The 22,636-nt window shown below is 40.7% G+C and overlaps 1 protein-coding gene and 1 long non-coding RNA gene across 54 annotated transcripts in view, besides 2 other annotated features; one reads left to right on the top strand and one right to left on the bottom strand.

Annotated features, from left to right (window-relative positions):
• Positions 1-10,678, bottom strand: part of THRB-AS2 (THRB antisense RNA 2) — a 38,633-nt gene extending 27,955 nt beyond the window's left edge. Inside the window, exon 1 of the long non-coding RNA NR_121667.1 lies at positions 10,602-10,678. This is a non-coding gene — a long non-coding RNA (THRB antisense RNA 2). The remainder of the gene's footprint in view (positions 1-10,601) is intronic.
• The window catches only part of THRB (thyroid hormone receptor beta), a 378,556-nt gene that overhangs the window by 333,707 nt on the left and 22,213 nt on the right, over positions 1-22,636 (top strand). For all 53 annotated transcript variants that reach the window (NM_001374822.1, NM_001374823.1, NM_001374824.1 and 50 more), the window contains 3 exons: positions 9,512-9,612; positions 15,180-15,327; positions 18,296-18,501. In NM_001374822.1, the coding sequence (NP_001361751.1) occupies positions 9,512-9,612; positions 15,180-15,327; positions 18,296-18,501 (455 nt within the window). The remainder of the gene's footprint in view (positions 1-9,511; positions 9,613-15,179; positions 15,328-18,295; positions 18,502-22,636) is intronic.
• Positions 8,788-8,988: a silencer, noted in NCBI's record as "peak4578 fragment used in MPRA reporter construct". NCBI's record gives its function as "represses an SCP1 promoter by STARR-seq MPRAs in K562 erythroleukemia cells {active_cell/tissue: K562}" and the evidence as "EXISTENCE:reporter gene assay evidence [ECO:0000049][PMID:32103011]".
• Positions 17,857-19,056: an enhancer, noted in NCBI's record as "CDK7 strongly-dependent group 2 enhancer chr3:24184437-24185636 (GRCh37/hg19 assembly coordinates)". NCBI's record gives its function as "activates an origin of replication core promoter dependent on BRD2, BRD4, P300/CBP, MED14 and CDK7 cofactors, with strong dependence on CDK7, by STARR-seq in HCT116 cells {active_cell/tissue: HCT116}" and the evidence as "EXISTENCE:reporter gene assay evidence [ECO:0000049][PMID:35650434]".

The raw sequence follows: 22,636 nt of genomic DNA, 5'->3' as shown, positions 1-22,636 counted from the left end.
GTCTGCCCTGGGCGACTCTCCTCCACGGGATTCTTTGCTTGACCTTCTACATGCCATCTTACTTGATAGGAATTGCATGTTTGAAAAGTTGTCAGAGATGCTTATCATGTCCAAGAGAATAAGAATTTCCTGTTTTTAAGCCAGGATCGAGGAGATGGGGGTGGGGGTGGGGGTGGGGGAGGGTTGTCCTATTCAGTTTTGGTTCTGATTGTATATGTTGTTGCTCTACAACCACATTTTTAATTGTGCAGGAATAAAAATTAATAACTGAAGCAGAAACTCCACACAGGACTGTGCTTTCTGAATCTGCTTTCATTGTTCCTCTGACTTGGAGATAGAATTCTGTCTGTGTGTGTGTGTGTGTGTGTGTGTGTGTGTGTGTGTTCTGTAGCTCTGTTGACTCCAGGTGAACAATTACATAGGCATTTGAAATGAAAATTAAGTAGCAAATTGGGGAATGTTTCTTTCTCAAGCTTTCCTTTCCTTTCCTTCTTCCTCTCCCTCTGTCTCTCTCTCCTACTTTCCCTCCATCTCTTTCTTCCTCTATCTTCTCTTTCTCTCCCTCTCTCTCCCATCCTTATTCTTCCCCTATACTTGAATTTTTTAATTTAAACACAGATGTGATCAGTCCACCCAGTGAACTGTTGAGTACTAAATAAATAATCTCTTTTAAATGTAATAGTTAAGTGGTTAATGCAATCATAGATTTTTCAACAATGCGTATGTAACTTAAGGACGCTGATGGAAAGTTAGGATTTTAAATTAGGTACTGCCACACACATGCTGTTCAGAGAAAACACCACTCCAGAAAACAATACCACAACTTTTAAAAATACAGAACATATTCACTGTACAAAAGGTTAAATGAAAGTGCCTCTTGGCACCCAGAAATGAAAGCAAAGTAAGGAGCAATAATCGTTTCCAAACCAAGTCCAAGTGCAGACAAAAGCGTGAGCTCTTTCCTTTTCTTTCCTGAGAATTAACTGTCTCGTCAAAGACATGTCCTTCAGAGATTTCACTGAATGCCCTAACCTCATCCAGAGCATGCATTGCCCTTACTCACAATGAAAGCTAACAGTAGGAGTCCAAAGCATTATGAGCAAATGGATTCAGACGCCTGGCAGGCTTACAGAGGAATGGTGAGACTGCTGACTTTCTGCATATGGAGTTCATATCCACCACCTCACATGCCTCCATGGATACTTTTTCATAGTCAAGCACAACACTTTTTTCTCAGCACTCAAGTGCATTCAGCCTGAAGTCAAGCCGCTTCCCGCCCTACCACCCACTCTGCTCCAGCTTTTATGATCCCATCATCTTATGGGTCCTTGGCTTCACCGGTGCCCACTTGGTTATCTGTATTCTTCCTGTTTCCAGAGCATTGGGAATGCTGACCTTCCCGTGCGCTGTCCTTGGTACTTCCCTCTCATCAGCTCCCTCGGTACCAGCTGTTGTAGAGAATTTCCTCAGCTCTCTTGGAGACTCCCAGAATGTGCTTTTGAGCAGTCACCCCACACACCTGCTTTCCTTATCCGCAGATACCTCCCGCCATGTTTTCCTGCCTTTCTTCCCTCCAGGTTCACCCTCTCTTGCTTAAAGCCTTCTGCTTCCAGCCACTCAGGGGCAGTTCTTCCCCATCCTCTGCACCACCACAGGGCTCCGTCTCAAGGTTTGGGGCCCTTTTCCATTACCACAAATTCCACCAACTCTTCCCTGCCCTCAAGAGTTCAATTTTGATTCTGGCTTTGTGCTTTTACCCACACCCTCTGTTCCAGAAACCTTGGCCAGTCTCCCCATGGGTTCCTCTCTCTGTCACCCTAGTCTCCATCCCTGAACCAGTATGCTTTCTTCCAGCTGTCACCCACTGCCAGCCACACCCTGGTGGGCCACCTTGCCACTGTCAGCCTGCATCACTTTATGTCACCAACTCAGCTCACAGCCCACCAGCCTCTTCTATTACCCAGCAACACATTCTCTCATCACCCCCGCTCCCAACCAGCCCTGCCTTCAAAGGCAGATATCCTTTGTTTTATACAATAGCTCTGAATCATTTGTGTAAACCACCTTTGAAAAGTAATATATTATATATAAAGTATATTAGACTAGGGTTTCTTAACCTTGGCACTATTGACATTGGGGCCATATAATTCTTTGTTGTGATGGTTGTCCTGTGCATTGTAGGACGTTTAGCATCATTCCTGGTCCCTCTTCCCACTGGACACCAGTAGCAAACACACACACACACACACACACACACACACACACACACACACAGCAGTTGTGGCAACCAAAAATGTCTCCAGACTTCGCCAAATGTCCCCTGGGAGGCAAAATCATCCCCACTCGAGGACCACTGCATTAATGGTGAAGAACTTACTACTTGGAGAATATCTGAAGTAAAGGATCTTTCATAAAGGATTTCTTATAATGTTAAAATCCCTCCTCCATTTCCAAATATCATATTTAAGTGTTCATATATTGACGTCTGTCAAAATGGAGTACACCTGAACCTACATAACCATATATACGTGCAACATAACACATACATATGTGTCATAGCTCATTTCCATTGTTGGGATTTGGGTTCCCCTCATCATGTTTGCTTATTTATATCAAATCTATCTAGATCATAAGCACTACGAAAGCATCAATCTCTTTTATTTTGCACTCCCTAAAGCGCACATCCATGTGACTGCAGGATACACCTGCAGGGAGAGCAGTATAGCTCATAACGACAGTGACGGTGTTCTGATGACAAATGCAACAGCTCCTTCCCTTTTATGTATGTTTATGTAACATAAGGCTGAAGGGCTGCTAGCCCACATTTTTAGAGCTATAACCTTGAATCCCATTCTGAATGGATTTTCAGGTAAAGAAATGACACTTGTTTTTCTCAAGGATTCAGGATATGACATAACTGTGGGTGCCTCTGCATGAGCCCAAAGCTATAAATTGCTTCTCACAGCAAAATCAGAGGCAACTATCACCCTTCTCTAGTGACTGTTTCTGCTCCCTCCCCTAATCTTCTGATGACTTTGCCTTCCTGCTTTCTAATTCATGCCGTCTTTTAAAACAGGAAATGATCTCATCAATACCAGGGTTCTACAACTCCAATGCCCCCAAGTATGCGAGAGAGAGAGAGAGAGAGAGAGAGAGAGAGGAAGAGCTGTCTTACAATGGCTGCTTAATTTAAATTTTTCAACAAAGACACATAATGCTTACATAATATATGATAAGAATACTTCTCACTTCCATGAAGAAATATGTTCTCAGGCCGGGAGCAGTGGCTCACGCCTATAATCCCAGCACCTTGGGAGGCCGAGGCAGGTAGACTACCTGAGATCAGGATTTCGAGACCAGCCTGGCCAACATGACAAAACCCCGTCTCTACTAAAAATAACAAATAATAGCTGGGCGTGGTGGCAGGCACCTGTAATCCCAGTGACTCAGGAGGCTGAGGCAGGAGAATCACTTGAACCCAGGAGGTGGAAGCTGCAGCGAGCCGAGATCGTGCCATTGCACTCCAGCCTGGTCAACAAGAGTGAAACTCGTCCCCCACCCTCCCCCCAAAAAAAAAAAAAGTTATCATTTTTCTCAAACTACTTTTGTTTTTCCACTCTTGATAAAGATAAAGAATTATGTGAAATATTTCTTTATTTATGAAAAGGCATAATGCAAGAACAAAAATAAATAGCAACTGATGCACACAATCAGGAGAGGTTCTGACTGTGGAGCCTAAAAAGGATGTCCGTTTCTTGGGAGGTAGGGCTACCTTTCTAGTTCAGTTGATCGTTACACTGTGAGAATTTGGGTTCAGTATTGCCAGTTCCTCCTGTTTTTCACATGAAGCAAGAATTCTGTATGTTTTATGAAATTTCCTAGTTTTAAAAATTTGCTACGATTTTTAAAAACACTCTGCAAGCCAAATGTTGTAGACTGCCAGAATGTGTGCCCTTTTGATTAACATTCCAACTCAAACGCATTATATCAACGTATTCCCTTTCTTAGTGGTTTGCATCTTCAAGTGTTTTCCCTCTAATTGTAGATTGAAAGGTTATGTCAGCTATTAAGGATCTGAATGTACAGGGACGGCAAAAGGAACATTTCACTAGGTACTTCTTATACATTAAACTATACTATGCCCAAACCTGGCCCTAAAAATTAAAAAATAGGCTGAGCACTGTGGCTCATGCCTGTAGTCCCAACACTCTGGGAGGCCAAGACGGGAGGCTGGTTTGAACCAGGAGCTCAAGACCAGCCTGGGAAACATAGCAAGACCCCATCTCTACGAAACAACTTCAAAATTAGCCAGGTGTGGTGACCATGCACCTGTAGTCCCAGCTACTCAGGAAGCTGAGCTGGGAGGACTGCTTGGGCCCAGGAGTTCAAGGCTCCAGTGAGCCATGGTCATGCCACTGCACTCCAGTCCGGGTGACAGAAGTGAGTCCCTGTCTCAAAAAATAAAAGTTAAAAAAAATTGTAATTTAAAAATATGTCTTAGTTTCAGGAATTCTTGAATCAGAAGAAATGATCCAAAACTCATGTTGTCCCTTTTTCTGCACTAAAGCCTCCGATGAGAATCCAGGGTCCTTTGGCCTCATATCCTCATCCCCTTTTCTAGATTGACACCTCTACTTGGTCCTCCTGCTCGCCCCTCCTCCGCCCACCAGTGCTTCAGTGTTCAAAGCCTGGCGAGCCATTGTCTGCTGTCCCCCAACACCAGGGCCCAGCCAGCCAGAGGGCAAAGTGTAAAGAAAGAGACTCCAAGACTCCAAGCAGGGGTAGGCAGGGTGGGAAAACAGTGGATGTTCTGAGGAAAGATTGTGAATTGTGTGAAGTGGGAGCCCCTGGGGCAGCTCTGCTAATAATTTGCAGAGGGCAATGGATGAAGGCCTCCAAAGTTAATGCTGTTTCAAGTTTGTACCAAGTGTCTTCCACACAGTACACCCATACATGCTGTTAAATAAACAAATGGATGAATGCATGGTTTAATTTAATATAGTGTCTATCACAGGGTTAAAGATTAACATGATATAAAGCTTGGTACCTAATGCCAAGAATTAAATATAAAAGGAATCAGGATTCGTATGTTGGGGAAAGGCTAAAGGATAACCCTTTCAAGGTTTTTAAGTTTGTCAAGAAATGACATAGGGAAGGTGCTGGTGGGGAAAACAAGCTTAAATCATCAGGTCTGAGCTGCAGGATGAACTGAGGAGGTTCAGTATAAAATCAGAAGAGTGACTAAGCATGCTAGTGACTTAGCTTCCTGAAGGGTGACAAAATACAGTCTCATCCTCTATCCCGTCCCAAGATCAGATACCTACTGGCTCTGAGTTGATAGCTCTACAAGATGAATCAGCAACATGGAACTTCTTCACTTCTCTGAGCTACCCAAAGTATTTCCCACTACCGCAAACCACAGCCCCTCCCTTAAGATGCCAGGACTGGTTCTGCTAGGCAAGTGGTCTTATACAGATGATAAGATTTGCCAGTTTGGAAAAGATCTCTGAACTCAGCTCTTCTCACATGCTGCTACTTCTGCTCTCCTAGGCAGCACCTTATATTTTAGATCTACTTTCAAGATTAATCTGCTTTATATTCTATTCCCTAAGGGCCATGTATCTGCCAAGGTGACAAGAGGAACCAGTGTTTCTCCTCCTAGGACCTGAGATGCTGTTATAATTCACTCAAAAGAATTAAACTAGCCAGCCTTCTGATCTTGCCCATAGGGAAGAAAGCATTGAATCTGTTTTCAACCAAGAAGGCAAGCTTACTACCTGTTGCATCCTTTGTAGTGCAAATGTACAAAACTTTCCCCTTCTACATGACAAGTCGCTCAGAGAATATTTTTTAAATAGCATTAACTGTAAGATATTCAAGATAATACTTAGCAATTAACCAGACATTGCCAAATGTCAACTGAAAAAATCTCAAGTCCTTTGTTGAACAGATGGAGTTTGCTTTTATAAAAATATGCTTGATAAAGTGGCAGCATAATGTATTAATCTGAAAAATAATACATCTGAGCAGACAAGAGCTGAGGGAAATATATCATTTTTGAACTATCATATATTGTCATGGACCTTAATTTTTTCTGGAGGGTTATTGACCAGGCTTCTTTAGCAGTCACCTGGGACAACTAGCAGATGCAGTTCCTGACATGAACAGTCGTAGCTTCCAGGATTGTGTCTGTAGTATTTGTTTCTAGGCAGAATCCAACGCTGACATTATGACACTCATCAGTGTCCACTCTTGGCAACAAAACTAATGATACATGTGCATTTTCCTTAGTTTGGCATACTGACCATTGTGTAACTCATTTGGTGAGTATGACAAAGGAAAATGATGGAGACACTAAAATACAACAGGAAATACAACAGCAAGAAATGGTTAAGTTCTCTAGGAGAATTGGTTAGTATGTAATGTTGTCAATCATGTTCAGTAACCTTAAGAGAATCCTCACCTACCTAGTCACTATGTGTGGGACATTATTCCCTGATGGAAGTTATTTAATGAAGAATAATGGACTTAGGCATAATGATTGATGTATCATTGCCTGTGGTGACTGTTTTGGATAAATAAGATGGTTCAGAGTTAATATGTTACAGAAAAGAAAGCAAGGGGTGGGGTGCACTAGTATGATCATGTAAGTAGCTGCCACCAACTTAAGTAGATGTTTCTGTAGAAGTTTTGATGATTTAACTAAAGTCATTTAATCACCTCCACCCATGAAGAAGATAGTCTAGGAGAAATAAGAGAGTAAAGCACACCACCTCTCAGCCTAGCAGTCAGTAAATGAAAGGAGTCCATTCCAGTCACTGATTGAATTATTGTTGGATTCCACAAGAACCTTAAACACCATCTACATAAATTGTTGAACTACAGGTAGGAATAAATCTTCAGTGTCTGGCTGCCAATGCCAAAAGATAAAGCCAGCAGGTCTCATGAGACAGGCTGGGGTAGTATGAGGTGAGAGGGAACTACCTGCATCTTCCCAACTCTGGTTAATGTTCTTGGACACCTTGTTTTGACCCCTCCCAAGTCATGTCCCACAAGTACAGCAGTGTTCAAGTGTATCACAATTGGTTCTCATACCTGAGATTAGACAGAAATGACTTGTACCTCTTTTTCCCTTATCTCTGCATTCCATACTTGATACTAAGAACTTGAAAGTCTTCATTCTGTTGGATTAATTGTGTATAACCTCGAGGTATAAGAGGTTCAGATGTAGCTTTTTTGACAGTATGGGTCTGTATATTCCATCTGCCTTTACCAGGAAGGTGCCTGTTTTCCTAATTGAGTTACTTTGTGGTTTAAAAGTTACTTTGTGTTTTATAAGTAGGTCTTTATATGCACACAAAAGCACATGAGCACACCTCCTTACCAACACTTGTGACTGTGTCATTTTTGTTAAAACCATACTAGTGAGTGTAAAGTGGTATCTCATTGTGGTTTTGATTTGCATTTCCCTGCAATGATGTTGAGCATCTTTTCATGTTCTTCCCTTCATTTTCACCTCTCTTTTTCTCATTGAAGAATGACCAAGGCTACAGAAACAGAACTCAGCTTATGAGTTTACAAAGGAAGAAACCATGTCTTACTCATTTTTGTATTTTCAGCACCTAGAACAATGCTAAGCACATGTAGATGCTAAATAAATGTTTTCTGAATTCATAGATAAATGACTGAATGAACGCGCAAAGCATTCTAGTTCCCTTTTTTCTCTGCCCAGATCCTTCCCAGAATTCCCTTTTTAAAAATGACTGACAAGAGTTTTGAAACCCTTGCAGTGAACTCAACAGATGAATCATGGTTTGCATGATGCAAAAGTAAACTAAGAAAAGCTGTGATATTTAAAAATATAATCCTGTACATTACTAAACCTCACTTTCAAGTCAATTATCTGCCTCCCAAGAAGGAACATTTTTCTAAATTAAAGTTGGAGCAACATAATTTCTAAGAAATTATGAAAAGGATTTATTTCATTCTGTTTCCTTAATGGCTTTTTTTCTGAAAAGCAAGACTTCAGTGACCTAGTTTAATAAAAGGTCTATGAAATGTCACGGTAAGATACACAGTAAGGCATCAGTCATTTCAACCTAGCTAATCTTTATTGGAACAAAGAAGACTTTGCTGAACTGAGTCAAAAAACTTCATAAGGACCATGATAGGGAGAAAGGATTGTTTCTCAGCCTCTTCCTTCTTCACATCCCAACCAATCCTGCCTCATTTTGATTGTTTGGTCTTATGTGAAGCTGTGTGATTCTATATATCACATAATTTATCAATGGTAAACCATTGATAGAGGGGAGAATGAACCTGCCCTCCTGAATCAGCATCTTGTGTCTGGGCATCCTCTCCACAGGAAGCTGAAGGAGCAAAGACAGGAGGGAAACAGGAGGCTTCTGCTTTTGTGCTTTTTAGCTTCCTGAGTCAAGGAATTTAAACTAATAAACTCATTGTCCACTAAAAAAGAGAGTTATCATAGTTGGATTTTCCTTTTTTCTTAATAAACAAAACCTCTGTCATTTCACACTATCCAGTGTTGTTGGATTGCATATCATAATATCACAAGTTTACCTAACTTTTTTAGGTGGCAAAATTCATTCTACTTAAAGTCAACTCTCCATTTTTAGAAAAAGACCAGCATATTACACTGGAGGGCTAGAAATTAAGAGACTGGGGTTTTAGTCCTGCCTGTAATTTCCAGTGAGACCCTGAGGAAGGCCAAACCTCTGCAGGCCTGTTTCTTCACCTTACAAGGACTTCGTCATCTCCCGGGACCTTTCCAGCTATAAAGTTTTCTGAATTCATTGCATGGTACTGTGATTCCAAAGTGGATCAAATCTTGTGAAAACAGGTTTTGAAATAAGCCTTGTTAAATAGATTGTGTTATCTAGAACTCACAGTGCTCAAATCCTGGCCTCTCTGCTTGAGTCACTGGCTCTACAGCCTTCCTGCCATTCCCACCTGCACAGCAAGTGATCACAGCTATCTTTCTTTCTTTCTTTCTTTCTTTCTTTCTTTCTTTTTTTTTTTTTGGCAGAATTTCGCTCTTGTCGCCCAGGCTGGAGTGCAGTGGCACAATCTCAGCTCACTGCAACCTCTGCCTCCTGGGTTCAAGTGATTATCTTGCCTCAGCCTCCTGAGTAGCTGGGATTACAGGTGCCTGTCACCATGCCCGGCTAATTATTTGTATTTTTAGTAGAGAGAGGGTTTTGCCATGTTGGCCAGGCTGGTCTTGAACTCCTGACCCCAGGTGATCCACCTGCCTGGGCCTCCCAAAGTGCTGGGATTATAGGTGTGAGCTATTTCTAAGGCATTCTGAAATCCTGGGCCTATGTTAACTCTATGAGTATAAAATTCTTACCGTTTGGTTTCACTAAGTCTTTACTGTTGTTACCTCTTCCTGGCAAGCCAATTTTGTCTCTGGCCTAGCAACCTTAGCTATAGTGTCTCTTTGACGTTAACATATTATTTTTTAATATTCCTTCTTTTATTTCCTTCACAGGGTACATCCCCAGTTACTTAGACAAGGACGAGCTCTGTGTAGTGTGTGGTGACAAAGCCACCGGGTATCACTACCGCTGTATCACGTGTGAAGGCTGCAAGGTAATTGCCCTGGGTCCACAAGCACAGAGCTTAGCCCAGCTCCAGTCCCCTCCCAGTCCTCTTCCAGAATGCAATGTTAAGTTTAAATTCAAATTAAAATCAAATTCTAACATCCATGGTCTGTGATCATCCAGGTGTCTGGTTGTGCTCTTCATTTTTGACATGTTCAAGAACTGAATTTTTTTCCCAAATCATAAATAACTAAATGAGTGTAATGTCTGGTTTCTTTACTTCTGCAAGTGTTTTTAAAACAGGAAGAGAATCAATAAAATAAAAAGAAATTAATAAAACTCTTACTTTGGGTTTAAAAAGCATAGGTCCTTTTTAACATGTTGTCATCCCGAGAAATGACTGTTTCTCTTCTTGTTTTATCTACAGTGTTGGAGGAGACAGAGTTTACTCTACCACAGGCTGTTTTCTGCTGTTAGTCTGAGTGAATATGCTCATTTTCAAGGGTTCCAATAGGGAATATCTTTGAGGCTACTTAGATTCAGTTATGTTCTGAAATTATCCAAGTTGGCTTTTCGCACAGCCTGCAGTGACTAAGTAGATTCTGGTCATCCATCGGCTAATTTTGTGCTGTACAGTCCTATCTGCAGGAAATACTTGACAAGAATATACCAGTGATCAGTCCATTCACTTCCTGAAACTGAACCTAAATTGGCCTACTTACAAGACTTCATCAACAAAATTCAGATAAGGTTTCTGGAAAATATCTTTTGGTCCAACAATCTAGCCTTGAAAATGAAATCTACCATAAAGGAAAAAGCTTGACCCAGTGCTGTATTTCGTGTCTGTTCAGCTAATGTTTCATAAATAAAGAAGTATTTAAAGTCAGGGAAGGACTTTTAAAATTGTTTACTTGTTAAATACCTTGTCTTTTTTACCTCTTATATTTAAAACTAAATTATCAAGATGTAAACCCTAAAGCAAAAATTGTATTAAATGTATAAAACATTTCACCTTCCCTCCTCTCTCATCCACCTTACCTCTTTTTCTCTTCTTCCGCTTCTCCAACTGCCCCGCTTTGTTCATACCCTTGCTCGTAAAGCCCCCAAATCAACATGTTAGCTCAGTTTCAAATTAAGGTGTTTTCCTTTTCCCTAGTGGAAGATTTTCCATGCAAATTCCCTATGTTTTTGTACGTGACATTAGGAAACATTTAGGAGAAGGCTGCTAAAAATGTTGAGATAATACATCCATTGGAAAGGGGTAATTTCTAAGGTTGCAAGACTTGCTTTTTGGAATGTGGTGTAACATGTTCTTATTTATCCAGACCCCTTTGATCTGGAATTCGTAGTCCTTTAACAAAGACTGGGCTAAAGGTTGCCATTACATCTATGAAAATAATGTCTTAGGGAATTTAATGAATCTAATTACAAGTAAGTTCTGGCTATTTATTAATTAGAGACTTGCAGACAGTCTCTTGAAAGTAGTTTTATTGGCTTGATTTGAAAGTAATAAAACTACATAACTTTAGGTACCTACTCTCATTCCAAAAGTTCGATAATTCAAACTAGACTTTTCTCTAAATTAGTCCCAATTCATAAGGCTTTCCCTACCTTAGTTGCAGCACTGAGATTCTTCTAAATCGGCGCATAATGGGAAATTTCGAATTCTGGGAGAGAGATCCTGATTCCATTTAATATGGAATTCAATTTAATACTTAATTCCCCAAAATGACTCTAAAGAGTGAATGTGCCTTACAGAGGACAATACGTTATTAGTGACTGACTTAAACAAAGAGAGAATTGAGCCTATTAACCTATATCCCTGCCTCACATATGTCTTCAGGATGATCAAGAAATCAACTAGCCTGTTTTCCCTAGATCACAGGATGTTTGGAGCCTGGATCAGCTGAGGTTTTCTTAAAAGAAGAAATCGTGTAGCAAAATCTAGATTTTTTTTCAGATTCTGTGACTTTGTCTCAGGTCAGAATCCTGTTTCTAGGGTTGCCTTCATTGTAAAATCAGAGAAGAGCCTTCCCAGGGTACTTGTGCGGATCACTTAATATAATGACAAAGCATCTTGGAAAAAGACAAACGAGTTTTTCAAGTGAAACACGGTTTTTAAGAGTGGTGAAAGATGAAAGGGTTAATTGTTTCCTATATCGTTTATTCAAACCTGTAATTTAAAAATATTTCTACCCCATACTTGCAATGTGTATGGAGAGAATCCTTTTTGCCAGTTTTCACCCTGAGAAGAGTGAAATCTTTTGGAGATGTCATGTCTGTTGTGATATCCAAGTTTTTACACATCTTTTGTAGAAAGGATATTGATACTGTCCCACAGCAAACTATTTTTAGAGAAAGAATCAAAGCTTTTCAACAGCTGCCTGAATAGTGAACTAGAAGAGTGAGTTATCTCCTTTTCACATTGATCAGTGAATCATCTCAAAGTACTAAAAAATGGATACAGTTCTTCTCAGAATACAAAGAAACATGTCTGATATTGATTTATAAAAGCAAGACCTCTTCTTACCAACAAATCATCAATGAAATATATGTCCTTATTTATTGCCCAGGGCATCTCTTTTGTCAGCTCATCTCTAAAAGGATTTTTTTAAAATAAGTAGACTGTTTTAAATGTCTTCAAGTCCACTTCCAAGAGTTAATTTCTGTTACTTTTTAAAATGAAGTGGTTCCTTATCATACATCAAAATATGCTTTAATTATAGCTTAAGAAAGGCCAACATTTTAAGAAGAAAATCAAGAAAAAACAAAAAAAAGAAAGGCCAACATCTTTAAAAGGATTTGGTCCATGAAGTGCCCAAGACAAGTCATCAGAGATAGGCCACAGAAAAGATGGCATAGTGTATAGTAGAGCTAGCTATCTCAACTCTTTTGTGGAAATAAGCAAAGTATAAATTATTTCATTCATCCCAATAAAAAGTGAACAGAGTGACTTTTTGGAGTGTCTGGTGTGTCACACCTCATTCTCTGCTTAGCGTGGTCTTACTGGTCAATGTACTCCTTGCCCTAAACCCACCCCTGAACATGAGTCAGCATCAGAGTATGAGGGAGACAAGGGTCTCCCCAACTTCAGATAGACTAACAATCTTCCTATCCTAGTAAGCCGTCAGCATTCTTACTGGATGTCTTGGACTTTGGTATTTCTACCTCTAGGAAATTATTGTTTCCTCCAGAAGGAGGCGTGCTACCCTACCCCTCCCCTCCCTGTCTGTGACATACATCTTCTTGCCAGGAATCTCTGGGTTTCTTTAGTTCTCCTTTGCCCTCCTTGGTCAGAGGGTAGCAGAGAGAAAAGCTAGGTTTGCAGGGAAACTTGTTTTTCACTCTCATGGCATGCTCTGACATTCATGCTTTGGCAAGATTTGCCCACCCTGCACACCCAGGAAATCATTGCCAACATCTCCAACAACTGCCCTGCGTGTGAATGAGTGAATCTTGTAACAGTGTATGAACATCACTGAAATTAATGGACTCAAGTGCTTAGGAACACAGAACCCAAATATAATATTGACAGTTTTCTGTTAGAACTTGAACAATGGAAATGATAAGGGATTTGCATATACGCCCCAAAATCAAGTCTGTTAGTCTCAGTTATTCCTGATGTTTTTCTATTTTATTCTGCTTTGCCCAATATAAAATCCTACCTCGGGCATTTTCATAATAAGAAAGAGCTTTTGTGTCTGAAGGAGGAATATGCAATAGGGTATACGTATATAATCAAAGCCAAAGAACATTAACCGGGATCATAAAAATTTGGGCTGAATCTAGATCAACTGATATTTCCCACCATTTATCTAGCAAAGTTAGAGGACCCCTTTAGGCCTTAGCAGAAGACATCCATCAAAACTTGTTTTGCCACCAGGAACAGTGGCTCATGCCTGTAATCCCAGCACTTTGGGAGGCGGAGGCAGACGGATCACTTGAGGCCAGGTGTTGGAGACCAGCCTGGCCAATATGGCAAAAACGCATCTCTACTAAAAATACAAAAATTAGCCAGGCGTGGTGGCTCACGCCTATAATCCCAGCACTTTGGGAGGCCAAGGAGGACGGATCACTGAAGGCCAGGAGTTCGAGACCAGCCTGGCCAACATGGCAAAACCCCGTCTCTACTAAAAATACAAAAATTAGCCAGGTGTGGTAGCACACGCCTGTAATCCCAGCTACTCTGGATGCTAAGATATGAGAATCACTTGCACCCTGGAGGTGGAGGTTGTAGTGAGCCAAGATCGCACCACTGCACCCCAGCCTAGGTGACAGAGCGAGACTCTGTCTCAAAAAAAATTTTTTTTAATTTCTTACATTTTAAAACACTCATTTTGCCTTGTTATCCTACCAACAGTTAAAATGAACTTTTTAAGTGGCTGGGGCAGGACTGTTTATAATCTGTTGATCTAAAACATTCAAGTAATACAGTAAAATTTACTTCATTATACATCATATAAGCAGTTAAGCAAGTAAGATGTGGAGTGCCGCTCCTGGGTTGCAAGGGAGGTGGGGGTCATTGCTGGGTGGTTTCCATCCTACCTGAAGTTCCCACATGTACTTACCATGTGATTTGGGCAAGCGATTTAACCTGTCTGAGGTTTACTTTTTTAATCCCTACCATGGAAATATTTAGAGCACCTCCTTTACATGATTGTAGGGAAGATAGAAGGATATTGAATGTTTCTACAGCACTTAGCAATGTGCCCTCACAATAAGTGCTCACTGCTGTTATTAACTTCTACAATACAGATGACAGTTGCCTCAACTTGAGGATCACGTCCAGAAAAATTCTAGTATTGCACATTCTTGAGAATATTACCTAAGTCACCCAAACCTAGAACTAAACAGTGTCCCCAGATGCTACAGAGGTGCTCTCTCATGCCTTAAGAAAGGAAGAATCATTGAACCTGTAGGTGTATGTCTACAGATACCAAAGAAAGAGTGTTATAAAAGGAAAACCTCAATGCAATGAGCTATGGGGAAAAACTTGGTAGAAAACCTGGAGCGTTCTACTCCCTGAGTCCTATTGTTTGAAAGGCTAAGTGAGCTGATCATGGCTGTCTCAAGATTCAAAAACAAGTATTAAACTAAATCCAGGAAGCCAGCTAGTACATCTGTTTAATTACTAAATTATTAGATTTTTAATTAATAAAGTATTGCAAGTATCCATGTCTTTTCATTTTTTTCACTTTCTTCTTGGTCTTGGAGCTCTCTTATTACTCAGTATAAAGTAGCAAAACTCCTCATAGCTTAATTTAGCAACACAATTATGTCAGTATATGAAATAGAACAGTATAATTTACTTATATATTCAATATTTAGAAAAAATAAAAACAAGCGCTAGATGTTCCTACTAGCCTCTTTTCCTTGAATAAAGACCAAAAAAAAAGGTGTTGACTCTGTAGTCCTATGGCATCATCAGCTCAGATTTAGAACTCTCTAGATCCTTCTGGGCCAACTGTCTTATATTTGAATATGTGGAGCTAGAGGCCTAGAAACAGGTTAAGGTCCAAAACGATTCATCTCATAGTTATATGGACACAAAATTCCAGAATCACTGATTTCAAGAAAATATGAAACTGTTGTCTTGGGTCTTTGTTTTTCATATAGGGTTTCTTTAGAAGAACCATTCAGAAAAATCTCCATCCATCCTATTCCTGTAAATATGAAGGAAAATGTGTCATAGACAAAGTCACGCGAAATCAGTGCCAGGAATGTCGCTTTAAGAAATGCATCTATGTTGGCATGGCAACAGATTGTAAGTAGATCTTCACTTGCTTCATATTCAAGGAATGTTGATTAGGAAACAGTTTGGTTCAAGGAGATCGACTGGGCAGAAAAGAAGGCAGGAACCCAAGAAGACAGAGAAGGGAATACCTTACTTTCGCATACACCCCTCACTCCCCACATCCAGGCTTGCCCTGAAAGGGAGGTGGGAGCCATTGCTGGGTGGGTTCCATCCTACCCTGTCATACCACCTCCTAACTGTCAAAGTATGGATGATGGAGGAGGAAATGCAGTTAAATTATCCCTATCACATTTGCAGGCCTAGTTGTTAGCAACACTCTGTTTGAGACAGAGATTACAAATGAGAGGTCTGGTCCATTTACCTTGATAAGGTATCATTCTATACACAGTGTTCACATGGGGTAGAGCCTCAGGGACTAGTCCTAATATTTTTTCAAGAGCAAAGACAGGAATTTATTTTATGGACATTTTTGGAGATGGGGCGCTGGCAGAAAACATCGTGTTCAGAAATTTCTGAAGAATGCAAAGTTGAGTGCTATTGCATGAGTCATCCTGCAGTTGGTTGTTTGTTATATTTTTAGCAATAAAGACATTCCGAGCTGAAGTCGTCCTACCCAGTTTTCAAAGTGCTACAGCATATGGTGGCGAGATTAGCCCTTGGGGTCTCTTCTCCCCACACTGTGCGAGGGATTTACACCAGTCACTTTAATTAATCTAATCATAAAAATAAGAATCATGTCATTCAGAATGTGTGGCCTCCCTTTTGCCAGGCATCAGTATTAATGATTCTACTGGCATAAATTTTTTGCACATCAGTGAGAGATTCCAACTATTAGTTAAAAATTAAAAAGAAAAAGAAAGATAAAAAATGAAGAAAGAAAAAAGAAAATACAGTGAGGATTTTTCCTGATGAAAGAAGTAATCATGACTCACATTTTATGTGAGAAATAGAGTTCTTTCACTGAGAAAAAAAAATCTGTGAAATGTTCTGGTTTGCCCATTAAAGAAGAAGGAATGGAGAATCTTTAAAAAGGAAGAGGGTTATGTTAGAGTGTTAGGCTGGAAATCCTGGGTTAATCCCCACCTCTGGCTGAGTATTTTCTTTATCTTTATCTCTTAAAGGCCTTTAGCCCTTGCCAACAATATGCCTGATAGGGATATGTGAATATGATTGACTTACAGCCAAATACTTAGATATGCCACTATGACAAACTTATTATTGATTATCTATTTCAGTGTTCTATTGAGAAGTTTAAGATACTAGTGTCTATGAGGTTTAAAAACTCAGTGTTAATCTAGACTGTATGGAAATAAATTTTGAGTGCCCTTTACTTGCTTGTGAGGGATTCTAAGAGCTCAGGCTTTCTAATCAGAAAAACTTCTGTTCGAGTCCCAGATCTGTCACTTACTAGCTGTGTGACCTTTGGAATTAAGCTGAGATTTTCCTTCTGTGAAATCATTGCCTACCTTGTAGAGTTGTTTTCAAGATTAAATTAGATAATGTTCATCAAATACAACAGTCCCTGGCACACCGGAAGCATTTGGGAAGGGGTTGAGGGTATTATTACCATTCCTCCTTTCCCTTTAGTAACTGAACCAAAATGACTTAACAGGGCTCATTCATATTTTCCTCATTTGTAAGCGCTCACATGACTTTGACAATCCAATCAAATCTAAATGGTCTGGAATTTAATATTCTCTTTAAATTAGAATATTTAAATGGGAGACTAGCTAGGCACCTTGGTTCTCCTTCTCTTGCTATGTCTGCTTTTTTTCTTTTCCTACCAGGTCACACCTTCATCAAGAAATGGCCCTAGGACAGTGATGTCGTAGAACTGGAGTCAGGAGTCCTGGGTCTTGCCTTGGCTCTGCCATTAACTTGCTCTGTGACTTTAGGCAAGTCACGACCTCTCTGGATCAATTTCTTCTTCTTTCTGTGAAAAGACAGAGTAGGACTAGATGACGTCTAAGTTCCCTTCCAGTTCTAAAATACTATGACTCTGCAATGTAAAACCTGAGCCTTTCCATTCCATTGATAGTTACCAAGTCTAGTGAAACGGTTTTGGTTTTGGAAATTGACCACAGAAATATAGGTTTCTTGTTACCTGCCCTTCTGATTTTCCTTTCACCCAAATGATAGAAGTCAGGACTGCATTTACTGAGCACTTATAATGCATTATCACATTGAATACTCTGTGAAGTGGGTATTATTGAGCCCATTTTGTATAGGAAGAAATGAAAGCTCAGAGAACCTAAGGAACTTGCCAGAGGTCACACAGCTAGAATGTAATAATATCAGAATTCAAACCCAAGTCTTTCTAGATTCCAAAGCCTGGACTCTTTAACCACCCTTGAGGGTGGACCAGGTAGAGAATAATGTACAGTGAGTACCTTGAGGCCCAGGTGAGGCCCAGCCACATTCCAATTAGCCCTTAAGGGAGCCATGAAGAGTTGGGGTCCTTTTTCCTCTTAAAAAAAGGGATCACGAGCCTCCCACTTACTGCTCCATAACGTTTCTTTTTTTAATTCCATAACGTTTCTTTAACCTGAAGTTCTCTTTACTAAGAGCCGTTTTAGGGGAAGCGGGGAGGACAGAAACCCAGAGAGTGAATTCGGATGACTGGCTGGACAGATTTCTCTGTGATCTTGTGGGTAGTATGGATTTTACCTCTCTGCTTCACTCTGTTTTAGAACCACCTTCTGTGGAGTTGGAGTGCGCAGTGTCTAGGTTCTCTGGGGACTTTGTTTTGAAAAGCTGGCCGGTCATGGGGAGTTTGGCTCTAGAGACCATGTTGGACAAGACTAGTCAATGGCAGTTTGCTGGTGAGGAGAGAAACTGTCCCAGTGTGACCCACCCCGAAGGACCCAGTAAGCCATCTGTGCATCAGTGGTCCCACTCCTGAGGCTCCAGGAAGTGCAGCTTGCTGTGTATCTTGGGAGCATCTGTGTGCCTTGTCTCATCTTTCTCCCCCTCCCAGTGGTGCTGGATGACAGCAAGAGGCTGGCCAAGAGGAAGCTGATAGAGGAGAACCGGGAGAAAAGACGGCGGGAAGAGCTGCAGAAGTCCATCGGGCACAAGCCAGAGCCCACAGACGAGGAATGGGAGCTCATCAAAACTGTCACCGAAGCCCATGTGGCGACCAACGCCCAAGGCAGCCACTGGAAGCAAAAACGGAAATTCCTGGTAAGGCTTCCTTGCACAGATCAGTTTCACTTATATGCCAGTGTTTTCTACCTCAATTTATTCAGTCCTCATCACCTTGGGATACTGGTGTTATTGCCTCATTTTACTGATAGGGAAACCGTAGCTCTGAGAGGCTGAGTAACTTGCAAAGCTAGGATTTGAGTCTAGGTCTGTGTGAGAATAAAGGCCACTCCTACCATCTACTTTGTGATTTGCTGAATTCTAAAACAGTTTCTTAGGCCACATTATATCAGTTTGCTTTTACTGTTAGAAAGACCACTCCCAGACCAACTAATTAGTAAAATGTTTTGTCTGCCATCTTTTACTTTCTATACCCATTTCTTTCCTTAGATGCCCAGTATATACATATTTAGTCCCTGAACTCAATCCCAAATATTCCCTTTATAATAGCCTCTAGGCCTCAAGTATATTTTTATGTCAACAGAAGTCAAAATTTTTTAGCTTAAATTAAATGAGCTTGACTCAAGAAGGGCAATGGGAATGAGGGAGTAGGGATAGGGTTGGTGGGCACGAGTGTGTAGAGAAAAAAGACCTTCCAGACCCTTGCAATATTGATGTTTAATATTCTTATAAAAATTACCAGTTGTGAAAATTCTTCCCATTCATTTTTTATTCAGACTTCATAGTGTTTTGAGGTAAGCTGGAATTACTATCCCCATTTTACAGACATGCAAACCAAGCCCAAGGCCTTAAGCCGCTTGCCCAGGATCGCACTGCTAAAAGCCAGGCACCAAAACCAACTCGGTCTTCTGGTTCCAAGTCCAGGCTCTCCACCCACCTCATTAGAAAGACTACGTGCCCTACTAGTGCTGGACCATCTCAGAGACTGACTCTGCTCTTAGTTTATGATATAAAACCCTTTTCAAGTACCTACCTGACAACAGATATTCTGTGGTTTCATTTGTATCCCTAGGACACATTAGAGTACTTCCCCATCTGAACAAGAAGATATAGTGGTATAATTATCCTTGTACCTCAACATTAACATTACAATGAGATAGTGGATCTTTTTCTTAAAACAACATAACAACAACCTTAAAGGAAGTTTTGGAAAGAAAAGGCTTATACATAATTCACCTGTACTGACACAATTACTTTCGTTGTAATGAAACAATAGTGCCAGCACTTTGTTGATGGCTTTCACTAACAGCAATGTCAGCAAATACCTAGATGGCCTTTACCATATGCCAGGTACTATTCTAAGTGCTTTTCATTCATTAACTTCCTATACCAATCCTGTAGGTAGATGTGGTTAATATCTCCATTTTACAGAAGAGAGAAGTAAGACACAGAAGTTGAGGAAACTTGCCTGAGCTCCCACAACTGGTAAACAGTGGTGATGGATGCAGCCAGCTCCGGGATTTATGTCTCTATCCACTACCCTATGCAATCTTGGCACCTGCACAAACCCAAAAAGCCTCTGAAAGATCCCAGCTCTTTGGAGGAGCAGCCTCTCAGTGCCTTGATCTTGCATCTTCACCCCACCCTGGTATATCTGCCAGAAAATTCAAAAGCACTAATTCTGGATTGATAGACAAATTCTAACACAGTACACTTGGGGCATAGCAAGACAGAGTCCTACCTAATTGCAAACTTAAATCCATCCTTTCCCCAAATGTGTCACCCATAAATGGACATTGTAGAAACCACTTCCAGGCCTGGCACTGTCTCCTGATTTCAAGTCGTGACCAAGCTGAATTCCAAGTAAGGTAGAAGATTTGAAGTTCATCCTGGACTTCTCCCGGGAATTTTATACTTTTATTGTCTTTACTCCCCATAGAGAAGGGATACTAGTCCAACTAAACTTGTTTAAGTAGTCATAAGGTGCTTCTTTCCAGACTTTAAAGATTTGTTCCTTTATTTAAGAAACATTTATTGAGTGGATACTATGTGCCAGAAAGTAAATAAGTCAGGCACATTCCTCTAGTGGGAGGCAGATAATAAGAGATAAACAAACAAAATAAATGCAGGTAGTGGTAAGTGCAATGAAGGCAATAAACAGTGTGATGGGATGAAGAGTTTGTGAACTGGAAGTGGGGAGAGACTTCATTTCTGTGAACATGGTGGTCAGAAGAAGCATCTCTGAGGAGATGACGTTGTGCTATGTCTGGAAGCAGAGAAACCACCTCTATAAAGCAAAATATAATCAAATATCTTCGTGCTGTGTGGTCACAATATCTAGTCATTAGAACCAGTCTTGAGGTCTGCACTGTTCACTTAAAGGCTCCTAACAGTTCACCAGCCTGACCATCTATGGAAAGAATCTATGGCACAGAATGATTTGCCATTAGGCTTCTGTCAGAACCATGAGATTACCCATGCACAAGAGAGTTTTATTCTCCTTGTAGGGCTGACATGAAATGTATCTTTTGTAGATCTTTAATCTGCTCAAGAAATTGTCCATCTTGATTCAAATGTAAATAACTGCTTCTCCGAGCCATTTTTCCCTAGAGGGTTATTGGGAAGGATCAGGACTCTTCCACTGTCCTGTCTGTCTCTACAATGAACTTCATTTCTGTCAGCCAATCCCCTTCTGTGCCTGGGATAACCCCTGCATCTCTTCACAGGAGAACAATGTTCCATTCAGCCTCCACACTTGAGTATCTATGCTATGTGTGATGGAAACTTGTGGCAGCTTTTCTCCAAGATGGCTGCCATCAAATTATTTCTCATCTCTGTATACACAGCCCGTTCTCTCTCTGGGAGAGGTAGAGTCTGTTCCCCTCTCCCCTTGAATCTAGGCTGGTATCTGATGCCTTTAAACAGTGCATTTTGGCAGAAGTGATATTTAAGTTACTTCTAAGGTTGGGTCATAAGAAGCCTTGCAGCTTCCACTTGGGTACCTTGGGGGAGGGAAGCCACCTGGTCTCTCATAGCAGTTGACTATATATTAAAAAATAAGAATAATAAAAAATAATAATAAAGGTCCAACTACTCTGAGACCACCAGGCAGTGAGGAATCCCAAGCTAGCCATGTAAAAAGGCCACACAGAAAGAGAGATTCCCAAGCAGCCCAGGGACCAGAAATATGAGTAAAAAAGCCTTTACATGACACCAGCCTCTACTGCCATTTGATGGCAGCTGTATGAGGGCCCCCTAGCTGTGCCAATCAATCCCCAGAACTCAGAAAGAAAATTAAAAATTGTTGTTTTAAACCACAAAGTTTGGGGTTAGTTTGTTATACAGCAATAAATAACCAGAACAGAACTCGATAAATATTTGTTGAACTGAACATACAGTTCCACTCACCCATCCTTGGAGATAGTACAGTTAAGCCCTGTGTCTTAGCCAGTTTACATATTTACATATACTCCTTGCAGAAACGTGACTCCAACTGAGTATTTATGCTCAGGATGAAAATTTCACTCTTTTGAGTAGTGAATTAGTCCTGCAAGGACATTAAGAATCTTTACTTAAAGACAGCTTTGCTAAGTGGTATTCATGTACTGAAAGGTATCATGTACCAAACAGGCTTTTTTGCACATTAGAATTTGCCTCTCCTGTGTGCTAACACCCCTTTTCCTGTGCTTGCAACACTGCCACGTGTTATTTATTTTTTATGTGTTGATGTCCCATTTTGTTCCAAAAAAGAATTTGAGGAGGCCTATCATGTTAACAATAGTATAAAAATATGTCATATGGGATTACATGTTGTCATTAAAGCTGAAAGTATTCATTTATCTGGAATGGGTAAGTGCATTATTCCCTAAAAGGAGCTACTGACATAGTTTTCAGTCTAAGACCAGGACCCATTTTCACTTTAAGACCAGCACTCAAGTCAGAAATAGAGACAGGGCTGGCCACAGTGGCTCATGCCTGCAGTTTCAGCACTTTGGGAGGCCAAGGTGGGTGGATTGCTTGAGCCCAGAAGTGTGAGACCAGCCTGGTAAACATAGCGAGACTCCATCTCTACAAAAAATAAACAAATTTAGCCAGGCTTGGTGATACTCACCTGTGGTTCCCCACTACTCAGGAGGCTGAGGTAGATGGATCACTTAAGCCCAGGAGGTCAAGGCTACAGTGAGCTGTGATTATGCCACTCCACTCCAGACTGGACAACAGAGTAAAACCATGTCTCAAAAAAAAAAAAGAAAGAAAAGAAAAAGAAAGAAAG

This window comes from Homo sapiens, chromosome 3 (genome assembly GCF_000001405.40).
Source record: "Homo sapiens chromosome 3, GRCh38.p14 Primary Assembly".
Taxonomy (NCBI): Eukaryota; Metazoa; Chordata; class Mammalia; order Primates; family Hominidae; genus Homo; species Homo sapiens.
This window is presented reverse-complemented; position numbering and strand designations above follow the sequence as displayed.